At 37.4% G+C, this 19,942-nt stretch overlaps 1 protein-coding gene across 7 annotated transcripts in view; it reads left to right on the forward strand.

Moving 5' to 3' along the window:
• The window catches only part of FCHO2 (FCH and mu domain containing endocytic adaptor 2), a 134,482-nt gene extending 118,908 nt beyond the window's left edge, over nt 1-15,574 (forward strand). For 3 of the 7 annotated variants that reach the window (NM_138782.3, NM_001146032.2, XM_017009016.3), the window contains 6 exons: nt 2,390-2,545; nt 3,232-3,364; nt 6,835-7,034; nt 7,813-7,877; nt 12,641-12,805; nt 13,120-15,574. In NM_138782.3, the coding sequence (NP_620137.2) occupies nt 2,390-2,545; nt 3,232-3,364; nt 6,835-7,034; nt 7,813-7,877; nt 12,641-12,805; nt 13,120-13,142 (742 nt within the window). In that variant the 3' untranslated portion in view covers nt 13,143-15,574. Of the gene's footprint in view, nt 1-1,501; nt 1,632-2,389; nt 2,546-3,231; nt 3,365-6,834; nt 7,035-7,812; nt 7,878-12,640; nt 12,806-13,119 lie in introns of those variants that run through there. The other 4 variants (XM_017009017.3, XM_017009020.3, XM_017009021.3 and 1 more) reach the window with 4 other exon arrangements.
• The last annotated feature ends 4,368 nt before the right edge of the window (nt 15,575-19,942 follow it).

Raw genomic sequence — 19,942 nt, forward strand, 5'->3', positions numbered from 1 at the left:
ATTCTGTGTAGATTACAGTTTTCTGTTGTTTATTTACCTGCTTTTTTGCTATCTAAGGTAGTCATTTGATGATTGCATTCAATGTACATTCATTCATCAAATACTTGAGCACCTATTATTTCTAAGACTCTGTTACATGTGCACTGAGGATACTTTAGTAAACAAAAGAGTTCTCTCCTGAGCTTGCATTATAGTGAGGGAAAACTAAATATCAAAGAAACAGCTGTATGTATTGGATATTGATACACGCTATGAAGAAAAATAAACCAGGGTTAGAGGCTAGAGAATAACATTAGATAGAGGGCTACTATTTTAGATAGAATGATCAGGGTAAACTTTTTTGAGGTTAATTTAAGCAGGTAGTTGAAAGACATGGAGGAGCAAGCCATGCAGATATCTGAGGAAAGTATTCCAGGAAGAGGGAACCAGTGAGTGTAAGATACCAAGGTAAAAGCATATTTGGTATATTCAAGAAACAGCAAGCAAAACCATGTCACTGAGTAGGAGTAAACAGGAGAGTACTTGAAGATGAGTCCGGAGAGGTATGAGACCAGGTTAGGCATTGTAGGCCATGATAAAGAATTTGGAATTTATTTTGAGTAACATGGAAAGCCAGTGGAGGCTTTGAGCAGAGGAATGATGAAATTACATGTGTTTTCAGAGGAGCGCTGGTTGCTGTATGGAGAATAAACTGGGGGCAGAGGGTGCGGTGGGCAGTCAGAATTGATGCAGAGAGAAAGTTAGAAAATTAATTACAGAAGTCCAGGTGAGAGATAATGGTGGCTTGTATAAGGGTATTAGCAGAGCAGGTGATGAGTAGTAATGAGATTCTGAATATATTTTGAGAACAGAATTGTCAAGATTTGTTGGAGGCAAAATGCTAAGTTTGAAGTTTAAGACATCTTAGTGGAAATGTTGAATTGATACTTGGATACATGATTCTGGAGTTCAAGGGGTAAGTCTAGGCTAGAGATAAAATACTTGGTAGTGTAATTAGTTTGTAGATAATACTCAAAATTAGTGGCCTTAAGGAATAGATGGAAAAGAGATCTGAAAACTAAGTCTTGATTCCCTCCAGTGTTTAGAAAACAGGAAGATGAGAATGATTTAACAAAGGAATTTGAGAGAGCAAGCAGCAAGAGAGGTGAGGAGAGAACCAATAGACCCGTGTCTAGAAACTAAGTGAATAAATCATTTCTTGAAGGCAGGTGTGAACCTGTATCTGATGCTGCTTGACAGGTCAAGAAAAATTGACCATTGACAATAATTGGTGACATTCACAAGAAGGATTTTAGTGGCATAGTGGAGATGAAAGTATGCTTTGAGAGTGTTCAGGAGCCGAAGGTGATGCAGTCTAGACAACTATATTTGGAAAGAACAAATGCAGTTATTTCAGGATGTTTTGGTCTAAGTGGGAGCAGAGAAATGGAATGGTAGCAGGAGTGAGGTGGTGGAATCAAAGGAGGGTTTTATTTATTTTCATTTTTGTGTTTTTTAAAAGATGATATATATTTCAGCATGTCTGCCTGCTGATGGGAAAGATCCATTATTTATGGAAAAACAGGACTTGCAGAAAAAAGAGGGAACAATCACATGAATGAAGTCCTTCAGTATATAAGAGCAGATGAGTTCCAGTGCAGAATTGCTGGGATTGGCCTGAGGTGCAGAAATTGATTATCTGTTGAAACAGTATGGACTGCAGAATATATGGATAAAAAGTTAGGTAGATTTACTAGTGAGAGTATGAGGAAGTTATTTTTTTATTTCCTCAGTGAAATGAAGAGCACAGTCATCAGCTAAGAGTTGGGGGAAGGACTATTGCAGGTTAGAGATAAAAGGGGAAGCTAGGAAAAGACCAAAAGAAGAATAAATAGACTTGGGAAATGTGATAGGATTACCAAAGGGGTCCAGTTGAGAGTTTTGGCTATGTAGTTATATGTTTCAAAGGAAGAAAGAATAGAGGGTTGGAAGAAGCAATGAGGAGCAAGGGCCTCCTTGCTACCATCACCATCACCAGGCCCAGTGCTTTTTGGGGTTTGGGAGGGAAAAATAGCCACAACTAGGTATAGCGTTATGAGGAAAGCAATATCCTTCCAGGGAGGGAATGGTTATCACAAAAAAGTGAAGGAATATTATCAGTGTGCTTGCATTTGTGTTTAGAGTTTAATTCCAGGAAAAGATGATGCTAGATGAGTATACTATTTCATGTATATAATTTTTAAAAATTAAATTGAAAAAATAATCTATAGTTATGATAAAGGATATAGATATACACACATATAGGTGCGTGTGTGTGTGCGCACGTGCACGCGTGTGCCTTTTTAAACCAAATACTTTAAATAGAGATTAGAGCATTTTATTTAAACACTTTTCAAAATCCCTGTTTTAGGTGTATTGTGAAGATCACTGGTGATATGACAATGTCATTTCCAAGTGGAATTATTAAAGTCTTCACCAGCAATCCAACTCCAGCTGTGTTGTGCTTCAGGGTGAAAAATATCAGCAGACTAGAGCAGATTCTTCCAAATGCACAGCTTGTGTTCAGGTTTGTGTACTTTTTGTTTTGAAGGTTGAAATTTCGTTTTAAGATTTTCTTTCCTGCTGTGCACAGTGGCTCACGCCTGTAATCCCAGCAGTTTGGGAGGCTGAGGCAGGTGGATTGCTTGAGCCCAGTTGTTCAAAACCAGCCTGAGCAATGTGGCAAAACCCCATCTCTACCAAAAAAACAAAAAACAAAAAACAAGAACAAAAATTAGCTGGGCATGATGGTGCGTTCCTGTAGTCCCAGCTACTCAGGAGGCTGAGGTGGGAGAATCGCTTGAGCCTAGGAGGCAGAGGTTGCAGTGAGCCAAGATCGTGTCACTGCACTCCAGCCTTGGTGACAGAGCTAGACCCTGTCTCAAAAAAAAATGTTTTCCCCCTTCTTCTTTGAAATAATAATATTCAATTTGAAAACCATACCAAAATTATTCTTACTAAACACCTTTCTGCTGTCTTTTTATTTTGTTTTCAGTGGTGCTAATAGTTATTTTAAGATTCTTTTCTCTCTCTCCATCTTATCTTTCAAGCAAGCTTCTCCTGTGTTCCATTCTTCATCCCCTGATCTAATTTTCCTTCATCCCACCTCTTGGTTTATTTCTACTAGTTTTTCCTGTGTCACCAAATTACTACACAGAGGCAAAACATAAAGATAAGTCAATAAAATAACAAATATATTTTTTATATATGTAGTGATCCATCACAATGTGATTCCAACACAAAAGATTTTTGGATGAACATGCAAGCTGTTACAGTCTACCTCAAGAAGCTGTCAGAGCAAAATCCAGCTGCTTCTTATTATAATGTAGATGTATTAAAGTATCAGGTGAGTGTCACGACATTGCAAAAATTCTAAATTAAAATATTAAAAAATGGAATCTAGCATATAAATGAATAAGTATGTCATAGCCAAGTGAGTTTTTTCCCAGAAATTCAAGGATGTTTTGAAATTAGAAAATCTGTTTATAAGCCAGTGGAGATTTTGACCAGTTTGGTAAAATTCACCATTTATTCATGATTAAAATACTGAGTAAATTTAAATGCATAAATTTGTCCTTAAGCTGAAAAGACTAGCAGTATCAGTCTTAACAATGAAACTCCCAAAGTAATCAATTAAAGTTAGGAATGGCAAAGATGCCCATTAGTAGATCCTGTTAGTATATAAGAGTTTTCTGGATGTGTTAGCCAGTACAGTCAGGTAAGAGAACAAAATAAGCATTAATAAATACTGGGAAAGAGGAATCAAAATTATTATTGCTTACAGGTGATATATTCCTCTCACGAGAACCAATTGAAGAACTATTTGACATAAGGACATTTAATATAGGTGGTCAGTTTAGTAATTAATACCAAAATTAATAACTTTCAAAACCAATTACAAAAACTAGTGGAGAAAAATATTCACAAAGAACAATTAGGAAGAAACACAACACAATCTCTAGTGACTTGAATATGGAAAGATTCATGCTGTAGAAGTTTAGCTGTTTCTCAGTTAACTTATACATCTAATATAATACTGATCAGAAACCCAGTAGAGTTACGTCTTTGTGTTTGGAGGCTTGACAATCATTTTCACGTTTCTCTAGAAGAATAAAGCTTACAAGAATAAGTCAAGAATTTTTTATTTTAAAGAGATGGAGTCCCATTCTCTTGCTCAGAATGGAGTAGAGTAGCATGATCACATTTCACTGCAGCCTCAAACTCCTGGGCTCAAGCAGTCTTCCAGCCTTAGCCTCCCGAGTGACTGGGACTAAAGGCACAAACCACCGCTCCTGGCAAGAAATGTTTTAAACAGTAAAGTGGAGTAATGTTTTAGCTTTAATGGGAAAGCTTAGTATAGACAGTATTTAAAATAGTTTGGAACTAACGCAGCAGTAGATGGCCAGATGAAGGAATAGATTAGAGTATCCAGAAATAGATCTAAGAATAAATGGAAAATTGTTTATACGACATAGTAGCATTTCAAGGCAATGTGGACGTGATGAATTTTTCAAAAAATGATGTTGAGGATAGCAAGCTAGACACTTGAGAAAAAAATTAAGGTGAATCCCTGTTAGACTTTTAGCCAAAGTAAAATCCATGTGTATCAAAGGTTTAATAATAATAATAAAAGATACCATACCATAAAGGTACTAAAATAAAGGCATGGGTGAAGATACAGTTGACCCTTAAACAAAAAGGATCTATAAACTATGCAGGTCCACTTATACGAGGATTCTTTTTAACCAAACACCAATTGAAAATGCAATGATTGTGGATGCAAAACTCATGTATAAACAGAGGGCCAACTTTTTCTATATGTGGGTCCCACAGGGCCAACTATGTTTCTTGAGTATGCACAGATTAGTATATACACAGGGGTCCTGGAACCCACCCTCCCAAGTATGCTGAGGAACAACTGTATATGTATTTCTCTGTGTGTGTATATATGTAATACATATTTATTACATATTTTAATCTTGAAGTACAGAAGACCTAAGTATGATATGAAACCCAGAAGCCATGTAAGAAGAGAATGAGATATTTGATAAATAAATGTGTGTGTTTATAAAATATTTTGTTAAACCTTTAAACACAATCAGTATTTAATCTGTGGGAAAAGTATTTACGACACATAAGATGAACCACAGGGCTTACCCCAAAGAGCCCTTGTAAATTTGTAAGCAACATGTGAATAACTCAATAGACAAATAACCTATGGAAAGATGCTTCATGTCAGTAGTAATGAGAGCAGTCAATACTAAGATAACAATGAGGTGTCAGTTTTAGCCCATCAGATTTACAAAAATGAAAGTTCGCTTTATCCAGTATTAAGAAGGTTATGATCACTTGTTAATAGGATGCAAGTAAAACCTCTTAGAAGGCAATTCTGTTAGATTGTTGAAAGATGTAACCTTTAATTCAACAATTCCACTTCCAGAAATCATCAGAAATACACAGTTGGATGAAGATAAGGCATAAAGGATATTCGCTGTAGCATTGTTTAGAAAGCACCTAAGTACATACACATCAGCAGAGGAGGAAATTAATTACTATAGCCATTAAAAAGAATGACATGGATCTATGTTTGCATATGCCTGAAGAGTCTGGAAGGATATATGCCAGGATTCCAAGGGATAAATTTCCTACTTTATATTTCTCTATTTTTTTAGTTTTTAATAGGGTAATTTTATTAAAATGGCTTGTTTCTAGAAAAATACTTAAAGAACAAAAAAGTGCTGCCACTTAAATTGACTTAAAGTTTCTTACAGGTGTTCATTTATTCAACAGATGTGTATTATTCAGTGCATGTAATTGCTGGGAGTAGGACAGGGAGACAGTAAAGATCAGTAATATTCTATGGGCTGGACTTTGTTGCTCTGGTCTATAATCCCAGTACTTTGAGAGGCTGAGGCGAGAAGATTGCTTGAGCCCAGGAGTTCAAGACCAGTCTGGGCAATAAAAAGAAACCCCATCTCTACAAAAAATGTAAAATTCTCTGGGTGTGATGGCACAAGCCTGTAGTCCTAGCTAGTACAGAGGCTGAGGAGGGAGGATTGCTCGAGCCCAGGAGGTTGAGGCTGCAGTGAGCCATGAGCATGCCACTACACTCCAGCCTGGGCAACAGAGTGAGACCCTGCCTCAAAATAATAATCATAATATTCTATGTTAGAAAATGAGTGGTATGGAAAAAAGAAAAAGTATAGACTAAGGTAAGGAAGATTGAAAATACAGTTTTCAGTGTAAATTTAAACAGAGCAGTCAGAGTAGGTCTCCTTAAAAAGGAGCCATTGGACAAGGAGCTTAAGAATTTGAAGGAATTATAACATTTACTGTGAGTCATGTGATTAAACATTTGAAGTTGGAAGCATTCTAATTCCAACTTGTGGTACTACGTGGTGACCTTTTTTCTCGTGTTCTAAATCTGAATTCTTATAATGTATGAAGAATCTTTGAATTCTGTGTTGAATGTTGGAAGATTCGCAAACTTTACACGCATAATTAAGAATTCCTTCATAAAATGCTGATTTCTGGGCCCTGTCCCTAAGCTGTTGAATCAGATTTTCTGCAGTTGGAGCTAAGGGAATGTGTGTTATAAACAAGCACCACAGCAATTTTGATGTAAGTAGTAGTAGGTCCCCACATTGAGAATGATCCTTACTCCTTTGAGATAGGTCTGCTTCACTCTGCCAACAGATAGTCCCCTCATTAGATATTTTTGATTTTGTGGACTTACATGTTCAAGTGTCCATGTCATTAACATGACTTCTTAACTTTTCAGGCCAAAAACAATTGTTTGTTCTTTTCTCTTTAAAGGTATCATCAAATGGTATTCAGTCCACTCCTCTGAATCTTGCAACATACTGGAAATGTAGTGCTAGCACCACAGATCTTAGAGTGGATTATAAATACAATCCAGAAGCTATGGTGGCACCTAGTGTGCTTTCCAACATACAGGTGGTGGTACCAGTGGATGGAGGAGTAACGAACATGCAGTCCCTTCCCCCTGCAATATGGTAAATTAAACATACGTTTCTGAATTCCCACTAAATTTTTGTTGCAATCCCCAACTTCTAGAACCCAAGTTCTGTAAGTTTTCTTAGAAGTTTGAAAAATTTTTGTGCCTTTTTCCATAGAAACCACGCTGTAAAAGATGCAGTTCATTTTACTAGTCAAACCATAGTAACCTTAATCAAAAATAAACAAAACTAGTTTTGCTCTAAGTACCACCCAGACTTCAATGATTCCATACTAACTTTACCATTAGGCAGAGTGCTTGACCTCTCTAAACTTCTTTTTTTTTTTTTTTCATTTAAAAAATACAAATATTTTATGGATTAAATATAGCATCTGGCAAGTCTATAGGAACAGGAACACCTATCTAATTAGTGTTTAATAGTATTAGTTACTGCCATCTCTTAGCAACTTCTCCTGTCCCCTCTGTTAGTATTAGTATAGACTCTAACCGCTCTTTATAGTTACTTCATCATTTAATAACATGTGTCTTCCTTGACTAATGAAGGTACTGATCCCTATACACATTCCATTTTACTTTCTCTGACCAATAGGAATGAGAAGAATTACATAATTTGGTAAACTTCCATTAATTGAAAAAGATACAGCATTATGTTTATACTATATCATAAACACATTTTCACCAGTTAATACTACTTAAACTTAGCAATATATTTGTTGTAGTGAAAATATTTAAAATACACTTATTTATTGAGGTCCCATTCATGTATCAGGTACTATACTAGACACAAAACCTGAAGATATCTGTTCTTATTGCAGGAATGCAGAACAAATGAAAGCCTTTTGGAAATTGTCTAGTATTTCAGAAAAATCAGAAAATGGAGGTAAGTGTGTGTGTCCTTTTTTATTTATAAAATGATGTCACTGAAAATTGATTTTTTTTTTTTTTTTAAAACAGAGTCTAGCTTTGTTGCCAGGCTGGAGTGCAGTAACACAATCTCAGCTCACTGCAACCTCCGCCTGCTGGGTTCAAGCGATTCTCCTGCCTCAGACTCCTGAGTAGCTGGGATTACAGGCACGTGCCACCACACCCAACTAATTTTTGTTTGTTTGTTTTTTTTTTTAGTAGAAACAGGGTTTCACTATGTTACCCAGGATGGTCTCGATCTCCTGACCTCGTGATCTGCCCACCTCGGCCTCCCAAAGTGCTGGGATTACAGGCGTGAGCCACTGCGCCTGGCCATGGGTGCACCGTTCCTGGAAGCACTGCAATACCTTTTTTAAGGGAAAGTTTATGTAAAGTTTCCTCCTGGAATTTCATGCCCTCAGTTCTAGAAATGACCACTAGGTGGAAGTTAATACCTTTAGAATGGACCAGCTGAGATTCAGAACACATTTGTTCATCTAGATTGAGTATGTGTTCTCTATAAGAAAAAATTTATTTTGCCATAACTTTATAAATATTATGTAAATACTTCTTATATTTACATGCTAACATTAAGAAACTATACCTAGTAAATTTAAAGAAATAGAACTCTATGTTCCATGTAGGTAACCTGATAACTAATTGAAACTGATTTAACACAGTTTAGTTCATTCTGTTAACGGGATTCTCCTGACCTCCCAGAAATCATGTAGACGCTTCCAGGCTTTAAAAAGCCCCTTGCCGTCCCGGCACAGTGGCTCACGCTTGTAATCCCAGCACTTTGGTAGGCCGAGGTGGGTGGATCACTTGAAGTCAGGAGTTCAAGACCAGCCTGGCCAACATGGTGAAACCCCATCTGTTTTAAAAATACAAAAATTAGCTGGGCGTCATGGTGCACGCCTGTAATTCCAGCTATTCAGGGGACTTAAGCATGAGAATCACTTGAACCCAAGGAGGCGGAGGTTGCAGTGAGCTGAGATGGTGCCCCTGCTCTCCAGCCTGGGTGACAGAGTGAGACTCTGTCTCAAAAAAAAAAAAAAAAAAAAGCCCCCTTGCCTTCTGCAGTTCTCTAAAAGAACCTTTTTCCTGTCCATTTCCCCCTATTAAAGCTAACTATCAGCAGCATTCAATTTTCTGATGATTATTTTAAGGAGAAGCAAGTTATGCTTCTCTCACTAAGTACATCTGTTTGTGTTCATAATGCCAAGGAAAAGGCTGTCCTAGCTGATCACTTCTATAACTCAACTTACAATAAGGATGTAATTCTTGGGACAGCCAAGTCTTTAACATAGTCTTATTTTCTCTTAATCAAAAGAGAATTCTTCTGCCTTCTTTTGAATGCATAATTTTAGTCTACAATAACTTTTCTGCTTGTTTTTTTAGGGTTTGGTTTTGTTTTGTTTTGTTTTGTTTTTTTGAGACAGAGCCTTGCTCTGTTGCCCACTCTGGAGTGCAGCGGCATGATCTTGGCTCACTGCAACCTCTGCCTCCCAGGTTCAAGCAATTCTCCTGCCTCAGCCTCCCGAGTAGCTGGGATTACAGGCACCTACCACCACATCCAGCTAATTTTTGTATTTTTAGTAGAGACAGGGTTTCGCCATGTTGGCCAGGCTGGTCTTGAACTCCTGACCTCAGTTGATCTGCCAGCCTCAGCCTCCCAAAGTGCTGGGATTACAGGCATGAGCCACCATGCTCAGCCTAGTCTCCAATAACTCCTCTATTTGATAGGTTTTTTGGCTTTTCAAATGTTGCTGAGCTTTTTCTTTTTGAATATTTTGAGCATAATATAAAACATATCAGTAGCTTTTCTCATAGATATTTCTGTAGAAAGGACCGTAAATATGTCTGTGTTGTTTATTCATTTACACCTGCCATGCAGAATAAGACTTTTACTGGAGAGCCATACATTGGGTGAAATAACCAAGCAAATCTTCAGTTTCTTTTTTGCTGTTTGGTACTTATAGGTTGCCCACTTTCAGCTGGCCAACTGCATTGACTTTAACCCTAGCTATTAATATATAGCTTTTTGTGAGCCAAGCTGAAATTCCTAGTTTAAATTGAAGTAAACCAGCAATCCTGTTTGCATTAAGGGCTTATAACCAGTTTAGAAGGACAAAAGGATCTTTTTCCCCAATATAATGAAACTATACTATTGTAAATAATTAACAAGAAAGAAATTTGTTCTCTCAAAAATAAGACACAGGCTGGGTGCAGTGGCTCATGCCTGTAATCCCAGCACTTTGGGAGGCCAAGGCAGGTAGATCGTGAGGTCAAGAGATCGAGACCATCCTGGCCAACATGGTGAAACCCTGTCTCTACTAAAAATACAAAAATTAGCTGGATGTAGTGGCACGTGCCTGTAGTGTCAGCTACTCGGGAGGCTGAGGCAGGAGAATTGTTTGAACACGGGAGGTGGAGGTTGCAGTGAGCCAACATCGCACCACTGCCCTCCAGCCTGGCGCAGAGACTCCGTCTCAAAAAATAAAAAAATGAGATACAAATTTTCTAACCAGATTTTAAGTTTCCCTCTGCTATTCAGGTATCAGGTGTTTCTGTGAGGAAATGGAAAAATCTTATAAATGTGGTTTTTGATGTGGTTAGTCAAGCCTTTGAAAAGAATATCCAAGGCCAGGCATGGTGGCTCATTCCTGCAATCCCAGCACTTTGGGAGGCTGAGGCAGGTGGATCACTTGAGGCCAGGAGTTGGAGACCAGCCTAGACAATGTGGCAAAACCCTGCCTCTACTAAAAATACAAAAATTAACCAAGTGTGGTGGCACGTGCCTGTAGTCCCAGTTACTCAGGAGGCTGAGGCACGAGTCTAGCTTGAACCTGGGAGGCAGAGGTTTCAGTGAGCCAAGATTGCACCACTGTATTCCAGCTTGGGCCTTAGAGGGAGACTCTGTCTCAAAAAATAAATAAATAAATAAATAAATAAATAAATAAATAAATAAATAAATAAGAATGCTGTAAAATAGGCTGGGCACGGTGGCTCACACCTGAAATCCCAGCACTTTGGGAGGCTGAGGCGGGTGGATCATGAGGTCAGGAATTCAAGACCAGCCTGGCCAATATGGTGAAACCCTGTCTCTACTAAAAATACAGAATTAGCCAGGCATGGTGGTGTGCGCCTGTAATCCCAGATACTCAGGAGGCTGAGGCAGGAGAATCGCTTGAACCCAGGAGGCGGAGGTTGCAGTGAGCCAAGATCGTGCCACTGCACTCCAGCCTAGGCAACAGAGTGAGAGACTCTGTCTCAAAAAAAAAAAACACAAAAAATTCTGTAAAATAGAAATCTGTTTTCTGTTGCTGACTGTGTACTCAGAAGAGGGACAGGAAATATTTCTAAGGTGATTGTCAAGGTTGTTGCTCTTGGTCTATGGTAGAACTTTTGCACAACCAAATTGGTTATCAAGAATTGTAAAAGTTTGAGGGCCTGGATAGTAATTAAGAATAAGGCAGCAGTTCATCTCCACTACTGATCTATGCCTCCAGGCATAATAATACAAGTTGGATCAATGTTGTGACATCCTATTCTCCATTTCTCTGTGTAGTGTTAAGCTTCTGTGCAGGGGATCACAGGATCTTACTGCTAGTACCTAGCATTTCTGTCCATTTGCTCTATCCAGAAACCTGGGAACCCTCCTAGACTCCTCCTTTCTCATTTCTTGATTCCAACTCCTAAATATCTTTCAAATAACTTTCTTAATATCTTTCCTTTTTATTAGCCCTAGTTCAGATCCCCCTTTCCTATCATCTAGAGTCCTAAACTGTTTTGACTTGCAGTTGGTCTCCCAACCTTGCATCTTGTGCTTCTCTTCCCTTTTGAGACACTAATCTGAAATGTTCTTGTCTTCCTTATCTTTGGTGACTTCCCATGGTTACATCATGAATTTCTTACCATGGCCTGGCCCATGCTACCACTCTAGTCTCATCTGCCACTCCCCTCTACCTGTATCCTGTTCTCCTGCTAATCTGATATAGATGCTATTTCGTTAAATGCATCATGCTCTGTCTCTGTATCTTTGGTAACTTCTGCCTAAAATACACACCATCATCCCCACCACCATTTATAATTTTCAGCTGAGATAGGTGCTTTTGTGCCTGTAGCTCCTCAGAGCTCCTTTACAGCATTTATAATATTCATTATAATTATTGGTTTACTGTTCCTGCCATTCCATTAGACTGAAGTATACTGAATAAATGGTGATGATACTAGAAACAAAACACCTCAGAAATACCTACTTGGCATTATGTTAGACCAGTAAAACTTTAAAAAGAAAAGTGAATAGAAAATAGCAATGTTATACAACTCTTCCCAACCGTAGTTACCTTTCCATCTTTACTTCTTCTACTACTCAGTAGTCATTTCTTTTTTAACTTTATGCCACCTATATCCCTCCTAGGGTTTTTCTCTGGGCTGTCCTCAGTTACTTCCTTCTTCTCTTTTGACTCGCCTCAACATGCATATAGCATAGGAGTCCAGTAGTTAACATCTCTGAAGATTAGTATTGAGTCAAAGAAAAGCATGGGTTATTTACTTAATGAAAATTGATATTCACTAAAAAATATGAGATTTGGAAACAGGATAATAGTTTGTTTACTGTGCACATCTAATGAATGTAGCACAGGACTGATGTAGTTTAGCTTACTTGCTCATTTGATTCTATTTTGTTTGAAATGTATTTTACCCTGTGTAAGTGCTTTATTCTTTTCTTTGTAGGTTCTGGGTCCCTCCGAGCAAAATTTGATCTTTCAGAAGGACCTAGTAAACCCACGACACTTGCAGTACAATTCCTCAGCGAGGGAAGTACCCTTTCAGGAGTAGATTTCGAACTTGTGGGCACTGGCTATAGGCTTTCCTTAATAAAGAAGCGGTTTGCTACTGGTAAGTTAGGAGATTTCAAACTTTTTAATGTACATGGGAAACATTTGTATTCTAACAGTTATTAAAAAACTGTCAAGCAATTTATAATCTAAAGACATGGAAATTTTTTCTTTAACCCTTGGTACAAGGTGCCAGGTAGAGACACACCTGGGAGAGAGTTCTTACGGTCAGTATAGCTGAACACCTGTTATCTGATTCTAATGTACTGTAAATAGCAGATGGGAACTAGAGTTTTGTATTGGTAACCACAGTGGAAAATGTCCTTAGAGTGCATTTGAAATTGTAATTGCAAAGGTCTGCTTGGCGTTTTTCAGGACGATACCTGGCGGATTGTTGATGGACCTGGGAAAGTGATGTGGCTTCAGGGATTACAAACCTGCCATTCTGCATTATCTGTTCTTTCCAAACACTATTTTAACTTGTATGATGTCTTTCAAACTTAGACATATTTGAGAGCTGACTACAAACATTAAATCGCACTTTTAAAGTGAGTCATTGAAATAAATAGTACTGAAATGATTCTCTATGTTGTAAATGATCAACTACAATATTCAGGAAGCACATTTATTCAGATTCTCAGTAAAAATGAAGTTTTTGTAGGATTAATTTTTAAATTATTTCCAGTGTCTATGTTGAAAAAAAGGGTTATAGTGTAATATCAGGCCTAAAGTTTCAGAAGAGCAAGCACAAAGTAATTTAGCTTTCCATACATTTTTAGAGTCAGAGATAACTTTGAAATTTCATAAGTTTGATATTCAGTGGATACAAATAGAACATGAATTCTAAGTTTTGGGTAATGTTAACTCAGAACACTTAATCAAATTGAGCTATGTGCCATAAGGTAATCAGACCAGAGTCCAAGTTGTATGCAAAAAATCTATAATTTGATTCTCATAAACATATTAATAAAGTATAAGTGATGTTTTATATGATTTTTAAAAAAAATTCTCAAGTGCAATGTGTTTTAAAATAAGCTTGCAAATGACAGCAGAGACATTTACTTCTGCAGTTAGTTAACTTTATAGGAGTTGTGATTTTTTTGATGAATTAATGCTGTAGATTTAATTTATTTTTATATGGAATTGCATAATGTGTGCCTTTTAAAACAATAACAAAAACCAGAGATGTGCCTATACAATTTGTGTTCATTAATGTGCCTCACTTTTTTTCTCAGTCTGAATCTTCTGTTCAGAATCTTACAGTGATCAAGCATTTTTATAAGATATTTGCAATTTTTGTAAATATTTTTGGCCTGCAACTGGGAAGGGGATTCAGAGTCATAAAGCCTAACTTAAGAATCCTGGCTCACTTCTTTGGTGATACACTGTAGCCACTAGAAAGAGAAATAAACCCAATGGCATGTGTTTACAGGAAGAAAGATTACCTTCAGATACTTGACATTAACCTCATCAAAAGTGTGTGAATTTTAAAACAAATTCTAAAAAAACTATAGTGCTAAATTGGTAACTGGTATTTTAACTCTCAATTTAGCATTTTCCTTGATACTTTATCATTGAAAATTTATGCATTTATTTACTGATTGTGTTGTGAACATGAGTTTTATGGTATTTTGTGAGGGATGCATTTTTTAAAAGATTAATTTTGGAAACAGAAGGAGAAGCACTGCCATTTGTTTTTATTTCAACAATTGGAAAAATTACCAATTTGTACATTTTAATTATTCAATTTCTACTTTGTAAAAATAGGGAAATTATTTGAAGTGATATATTTGGTTAAACATTTCTAAAAATAAACTACCAATACTAAATAGTAAGAAACCTAACTTTAGTAGCAAATCTTGATTAATTGAAGAAATAAAATATTTCGGATAAGGTTTCATAATTTACAAATGGGAATTTCATTTATAATAATAAATATGAGTGTCCTTTATTTGCCTAGTAGAAGTGATAAATTGTGTTATATATGATAATTTATATAAAACCACTAATTGTTCCGTTAAGCTTCACAGAAAATAAAACCTCTATTACTAGACATTTATGTAACATCTTGCTGTACTAAATACAGCAGAAAATCTACTCTTTAGCAATATATAACACAGTATATGCTTTTTTATATATTCAATGTTAGCCCAAGTCTGAATTTACATTTGACTAAAGCAGCACATAAGATAATTTGCTAAAATGCTAATCTTTACTAAATAGTGAGCTAAATTAGAATTTCTAACTCTTATATTGTGCTCTTTTAAATGCCAATTACAGTCCCTTACTGGAATTCTAACTGTAATTTGCTTTGCAATCAAACTGCTTTTAGGGCAGCCAATATTTTATTATTGGAATTCAGACACTGTTCTTACCGTGTTTGTTTTTAATCAAATATTACCTAAAAATGTACAAATTAGTGAAATGGTTAAACTTCTGCACTTTCTTAGTTACCACAGTCTTCATACCAAGTATTGGGTACAGGTTACAATTTTGAAGCCATATGAGTTTATATTGATTTTTTTTTTCCATTTAAAAATCCACTAATGGTGTAAAAGAGACCAGTAGATTTTCAATGGGAAATGTACCTAGCAAGCTGGTTCTTGCTTATATATAGTGATAAACTTTGTAGCTGCCTCTTTAACCAAGAATTTGTAAACACAACTCTAATAAATGTGAGTTTTAAAGGATTGTTATTTACTACTTTGGATTGTAATTAGAACAATGCACATCTGTCTTCCAAGATTTTGTAAATATTTTTGATTTTTTTCATTAAATGTAAATTTTACATAAAAGTTGTGCTCTTAATAAACATGTAATATATAATTTATCAATTGGTTTATGTGTCTTTGTACTTGATAGTAATAGCTATATCATAATGTTAGGACAAGGCAAGCTGGCCAAGTAATTGGTTTTTAACTTTGTACTACTGTTTGAACAGGCGTACAGATCGAACTGTTATTTATTGGTTATATAGAAAGCTTCATTTGGAGTATATCCCAAAGTGTCAAAATTGTTTAACAAGGGATTATTTTTAATATATTTTAAGATATATTTAAATTGATGTTAAATTTTTGCAGACTTTCTTCCTAACCAGTTGCTCAGGAACACAGTCTCAGACAGTTCAAAAATCATAATGTTCCAAAGAATTAGTTAAGACAATCAAGCCTCCCAAAATGGTAAATTTAGGAAGGAGCAAAAGAAGGAAATTAGAAAAGAAAGAATTTATCCTAACTATTGAAAATTTTGGGCTGGGTGCAGTGGCGCATTACTGTAATCCCAGCACTTTGGAAGGTCGAGGTGGGCAGACCACATGAGGTCAGGAGTTCGAGATCAGCCTGGCCAACATGGTGAAACCCCAACTCTACCAAAAAATATAAAAATTAGCTGGGCATGGTGACGTATGCCTGTAGTCCCAGCTACTCGGGATGCTGAGGTAGGAGAAGTGCTTGAACACGGGAGGTGGAGGTTGCCGTGAGCCAAGATTGTGCCAGAGCACTCCAGCCTGGGTGACCAAGTGAGACCCTGTCTGAAAAAAAGAAAAAATGTTGCCAATCTGTGTTAAAAAAGGAACAGCTTAATTTATCTAGGTAGGCCAGGGCAGAGGAACCTGTGGAAAGATCTGATAGCACTCACCATTCATACCATATGCCCATCGTTTTCTTCCTTTTTCCTCTTCATCCCATTCCCACCTCTGTTAGACTAAATGATGCTAGCTGCTGCAATAGCTAAGCACAATACTTACTACATTGCTCTTATCACAGTCATAAGTAGGTTTGAGGAGGAGTTCTGCTCCATATAGTAATTCAGGGGCCCAGGCTCTTCCCATTCTGTGATTCTGCTTAAAATCTTCATTTGGCCGGCAGATGAAGAAAAAGCAAAGATTAGATGGGAGTTTTTATGGGCCAGGCCCAGAAGAATTGGCATCATCACTTCTGACCATATTCCATGAGCCAGGATTTGATCTTGTGGCTCCAACCAACTGCAAAAAAAGATGGGAAATGTAGTTTGGTTATGTGCCCAGGAAGAAAACGGGGTTTTGATAAACACAGAGTAAACCTCTGCCATGTACCCCACCCCTGCTCCATTTTGTTATTTTCTTTGTTCCTTTTTCCTAATGTGCATTTAATGGTTTCAGTGGCTCTCAGTATTAAAGGTTTTTTCCATGATTTCTTACTGTATGTAGCTATTTTATCCATATTTTTAAATATATATAATTATTTCCATACGCCTCCTAATGATCGTTTCTGAATGAACATTTGTGATAACTCAGAAACCACTGCTTATCTTTTTAGCATGAGTGTTTTATCTGTCAGTAATGTTTTTAGCCTCAAGTAACAGAAACAGAACTAAGAATGGTTTAAACCAGCAGTACCAACCTTTTTGGCACCAGGGACCAGTTTTGTGGAAGACAATTTTTCCATGGATGAAGCGGTGTGGGGAGATAGTTTCAGGATGAAACTGTTCCACTCAGATCATCAGTCATTAGTTAGATTCTCATAAGGAGCGTACAACTTAGATCCCTCACATGCGCAATTCACCATAGGACTTCCGTTCCTGTGAGAATCTAATGCTGCCGCCGATCTGACAGGAGGCAGAGCTCAGGCAGTAATGCTTGCTCACCTGCTGCTCACCTCCTGCTGTGCAACGTGGTTCCTAACAGGCCACAGATCACTACCAGTCTGTGGTCTGGGGTTGGGGTCCCCTGGTTTAAACATTTTTTTCATATCACAGCTCAAGTTACCTCTTGTTGGCATTGGTCAGAACAAGTCATTCGCCCTTTCTTTACGGTTGGAGTATGGCAGCCATAGCTCCAGACTGTATGTGTTTACATCCACAGCTAGGAGGGACAGTTCCAGTATGTCTGTCTTTTTTTTGTACGAAGAGTAAAAGTTTTTCCAGAAGCTCCCAGCTCGTATCTGTTTACGTTCTGTTGGCCTGAATTATGTAAGACAGGCAGAGAAAACAAGTAGCCTTCATAATGAAGGTGGGTAAAGGAGAAGGGCCTAGGAATGGCTGGAAGTAAGCTGGCCAGCAATCAGACACAGAATTTCTGCTGGTACAGGCATGTTTCCATATAGCATATTGCCAAGCAAGTCTGCACCTATCCCAATCAACTTTTTAACCCATTTTTTAAATAGTGTGAACTCAGCAATGAGCAGGATGAACTTAATTAAGTATTCAACTTTTTAGGAACAGTAAACTGGTATAATCTTTCTGACGATTTGAATCCAAAGGCTTTAAAATTTTTTTTTAATCTATGTATCATGTAAACTAGTCATTCACTTGGGAATTTGTCCTAAGAAAATAATGAGACATAAGCAAAATTATGTATGCAAAGATGTTTATTGCAACATTGTTTATAGTATGCAAAATTGAGAGGGTTGGCTGAGTTGATAACTCCCATATAGTGATACACTATGCGGCTTTTAAAAATAATTGTGAAGATCCACAGTCACTGATATTGAGATATTACCACAATATTATTAAATGGTAAAAGGTAATATGCCATTTTTGTTTTTAAAAGTGCATACATCAGGCCAGACGCAGTGGCTCACGCCTGTAATCCCAGCACTTTGGGAGGCCGAGGCGGGCAGGTCATTTGAGGTCACAAGTTCAAGACCAGCCTGGCCAACATGGTGAAACCCCATCTCTACCAAAAATACAAAAATTAGCCAGGCATGGTGGCGCATGCCTATAATCCCAGTTACTTGGGAGGCTGAGGTGAGGCAGGAGAATCACTTGAACCCACGAGATGGAGGCTGCAGTGAGCCGAGATCGCACCACTGCATTCCAGCCTGGGTGACAGAGTGAGGAAAAAAAAAAAAAAAGCATACATCTAGAGCAAAACTTTTTGCAAAAGCATTCACCAAGCCGTTATAATCTATAGGTGGTGGGATTTTTATTTTTAACAATATGTTAGGTGTTATCTAAATTTTTTTATAATTAGTACATATTACATCTACAATTATAAACTAACTATGTTTTGGAAAATAGTTGCATAGAGTGCAAGTTGAACTTTCTGTTGATGCACAAAGATCTCTTCACATAAGGATCTTCCTATTTTGATTATTGCCTTGCCTTACGTGGTCCTACCAATATAGCCAGGTTTTTTGTTTGTTTTGTTTTGTTTTGTTTGTTAACGTATGAAGTAGATTGCTGATCTAATTTTTATTCTTTTTGGTCTCAAAGCCAAATGTCATATTTTGTTTTCCCTAAGTGGATACAGGATCAGTTTGTTTTTTTTTTCTGGGAATATATTTTGCCCAAATTACTCTCTTAAGAAAAGTGTCGGCCGGGTGCGGTAGCTCACGCCTGTAATTCTAGCACTCTGGGAAGCTGAGGTGGGCGGATTGCCGGAGCTCAGGAGTTCAAAACCAGCCTCGCCAACATGGAGAAACCCTTTCTCTACTAAAAATACAAAAAACTAGCTGGGTGTGGTGACACATGCCTGTAGTCCCAGCTACTCCCAAGGCTGAGGCATGAGTCACTTTCACTCAGGAGGTGGAGGTTGCAGTGAGCCAAGATCATGCCACTTCACTACAGACTGGGTGACAGAACAAGGCTCTGTCTCAAAGAAAAAAAAATGTGATCCAGAGAAGTGACAGAGGTTAGCCTTTGGCAAAATTAAGAGCCTTTTAAGTTCAGAACCTTAATGTCATCACATACTCAATGAATAGTGACTGTTTACACCATTGAAATTCCCAAAAAGAGTAACCTAAAGAGTGATGAGCTTGCAACAAAGATTAGGTTATTTGGTTTTTCCACCTTCTGTCAATAAAATATTTCCATTAGTTGGGGAACTTATGGAGTGAATTTCAAATTGTTCAGGAAGTGTAAAGGCATACTTTGAAACCATCTTCATGCTATTTGCATGAAGCATGTTTCAGTATGACAGGCAACCAGGGTACCTGCTTGAGGTAAGGTGACCTTTAAGGTTGGTGATTGACTGTATACATCAGAATCATAATCCTGTCAGTGCAAAATTGCAGTTGCTTGCTTTACTTCTTTTTGATCTGAGTTGATGGCACCCACAATATTTAGAAGTTCTGGGGTCTCTGACCCCAGGCACCTCCCCACTCAGATTAGGGAAAGTCCCCTCGAAGTACCAGCTCATTAGGAGGAAATCAGTGAGTAATTCACAATTTAAACATTTCACACATCTGCAAAGTAACTATGATCAGTAATGACCTCTTTC

This window comes from Homo sapiens, chromosome 5 (assembly GCF_000001405.40).
Source record: "Homo sapiens chromosome 5, GRCh38.p14 Primary Assembly".
NCBI lineage: Eukaryota > Metazoa > Chordata > Mammalia > Primates > Hominidae > Homo > Homo sapiens.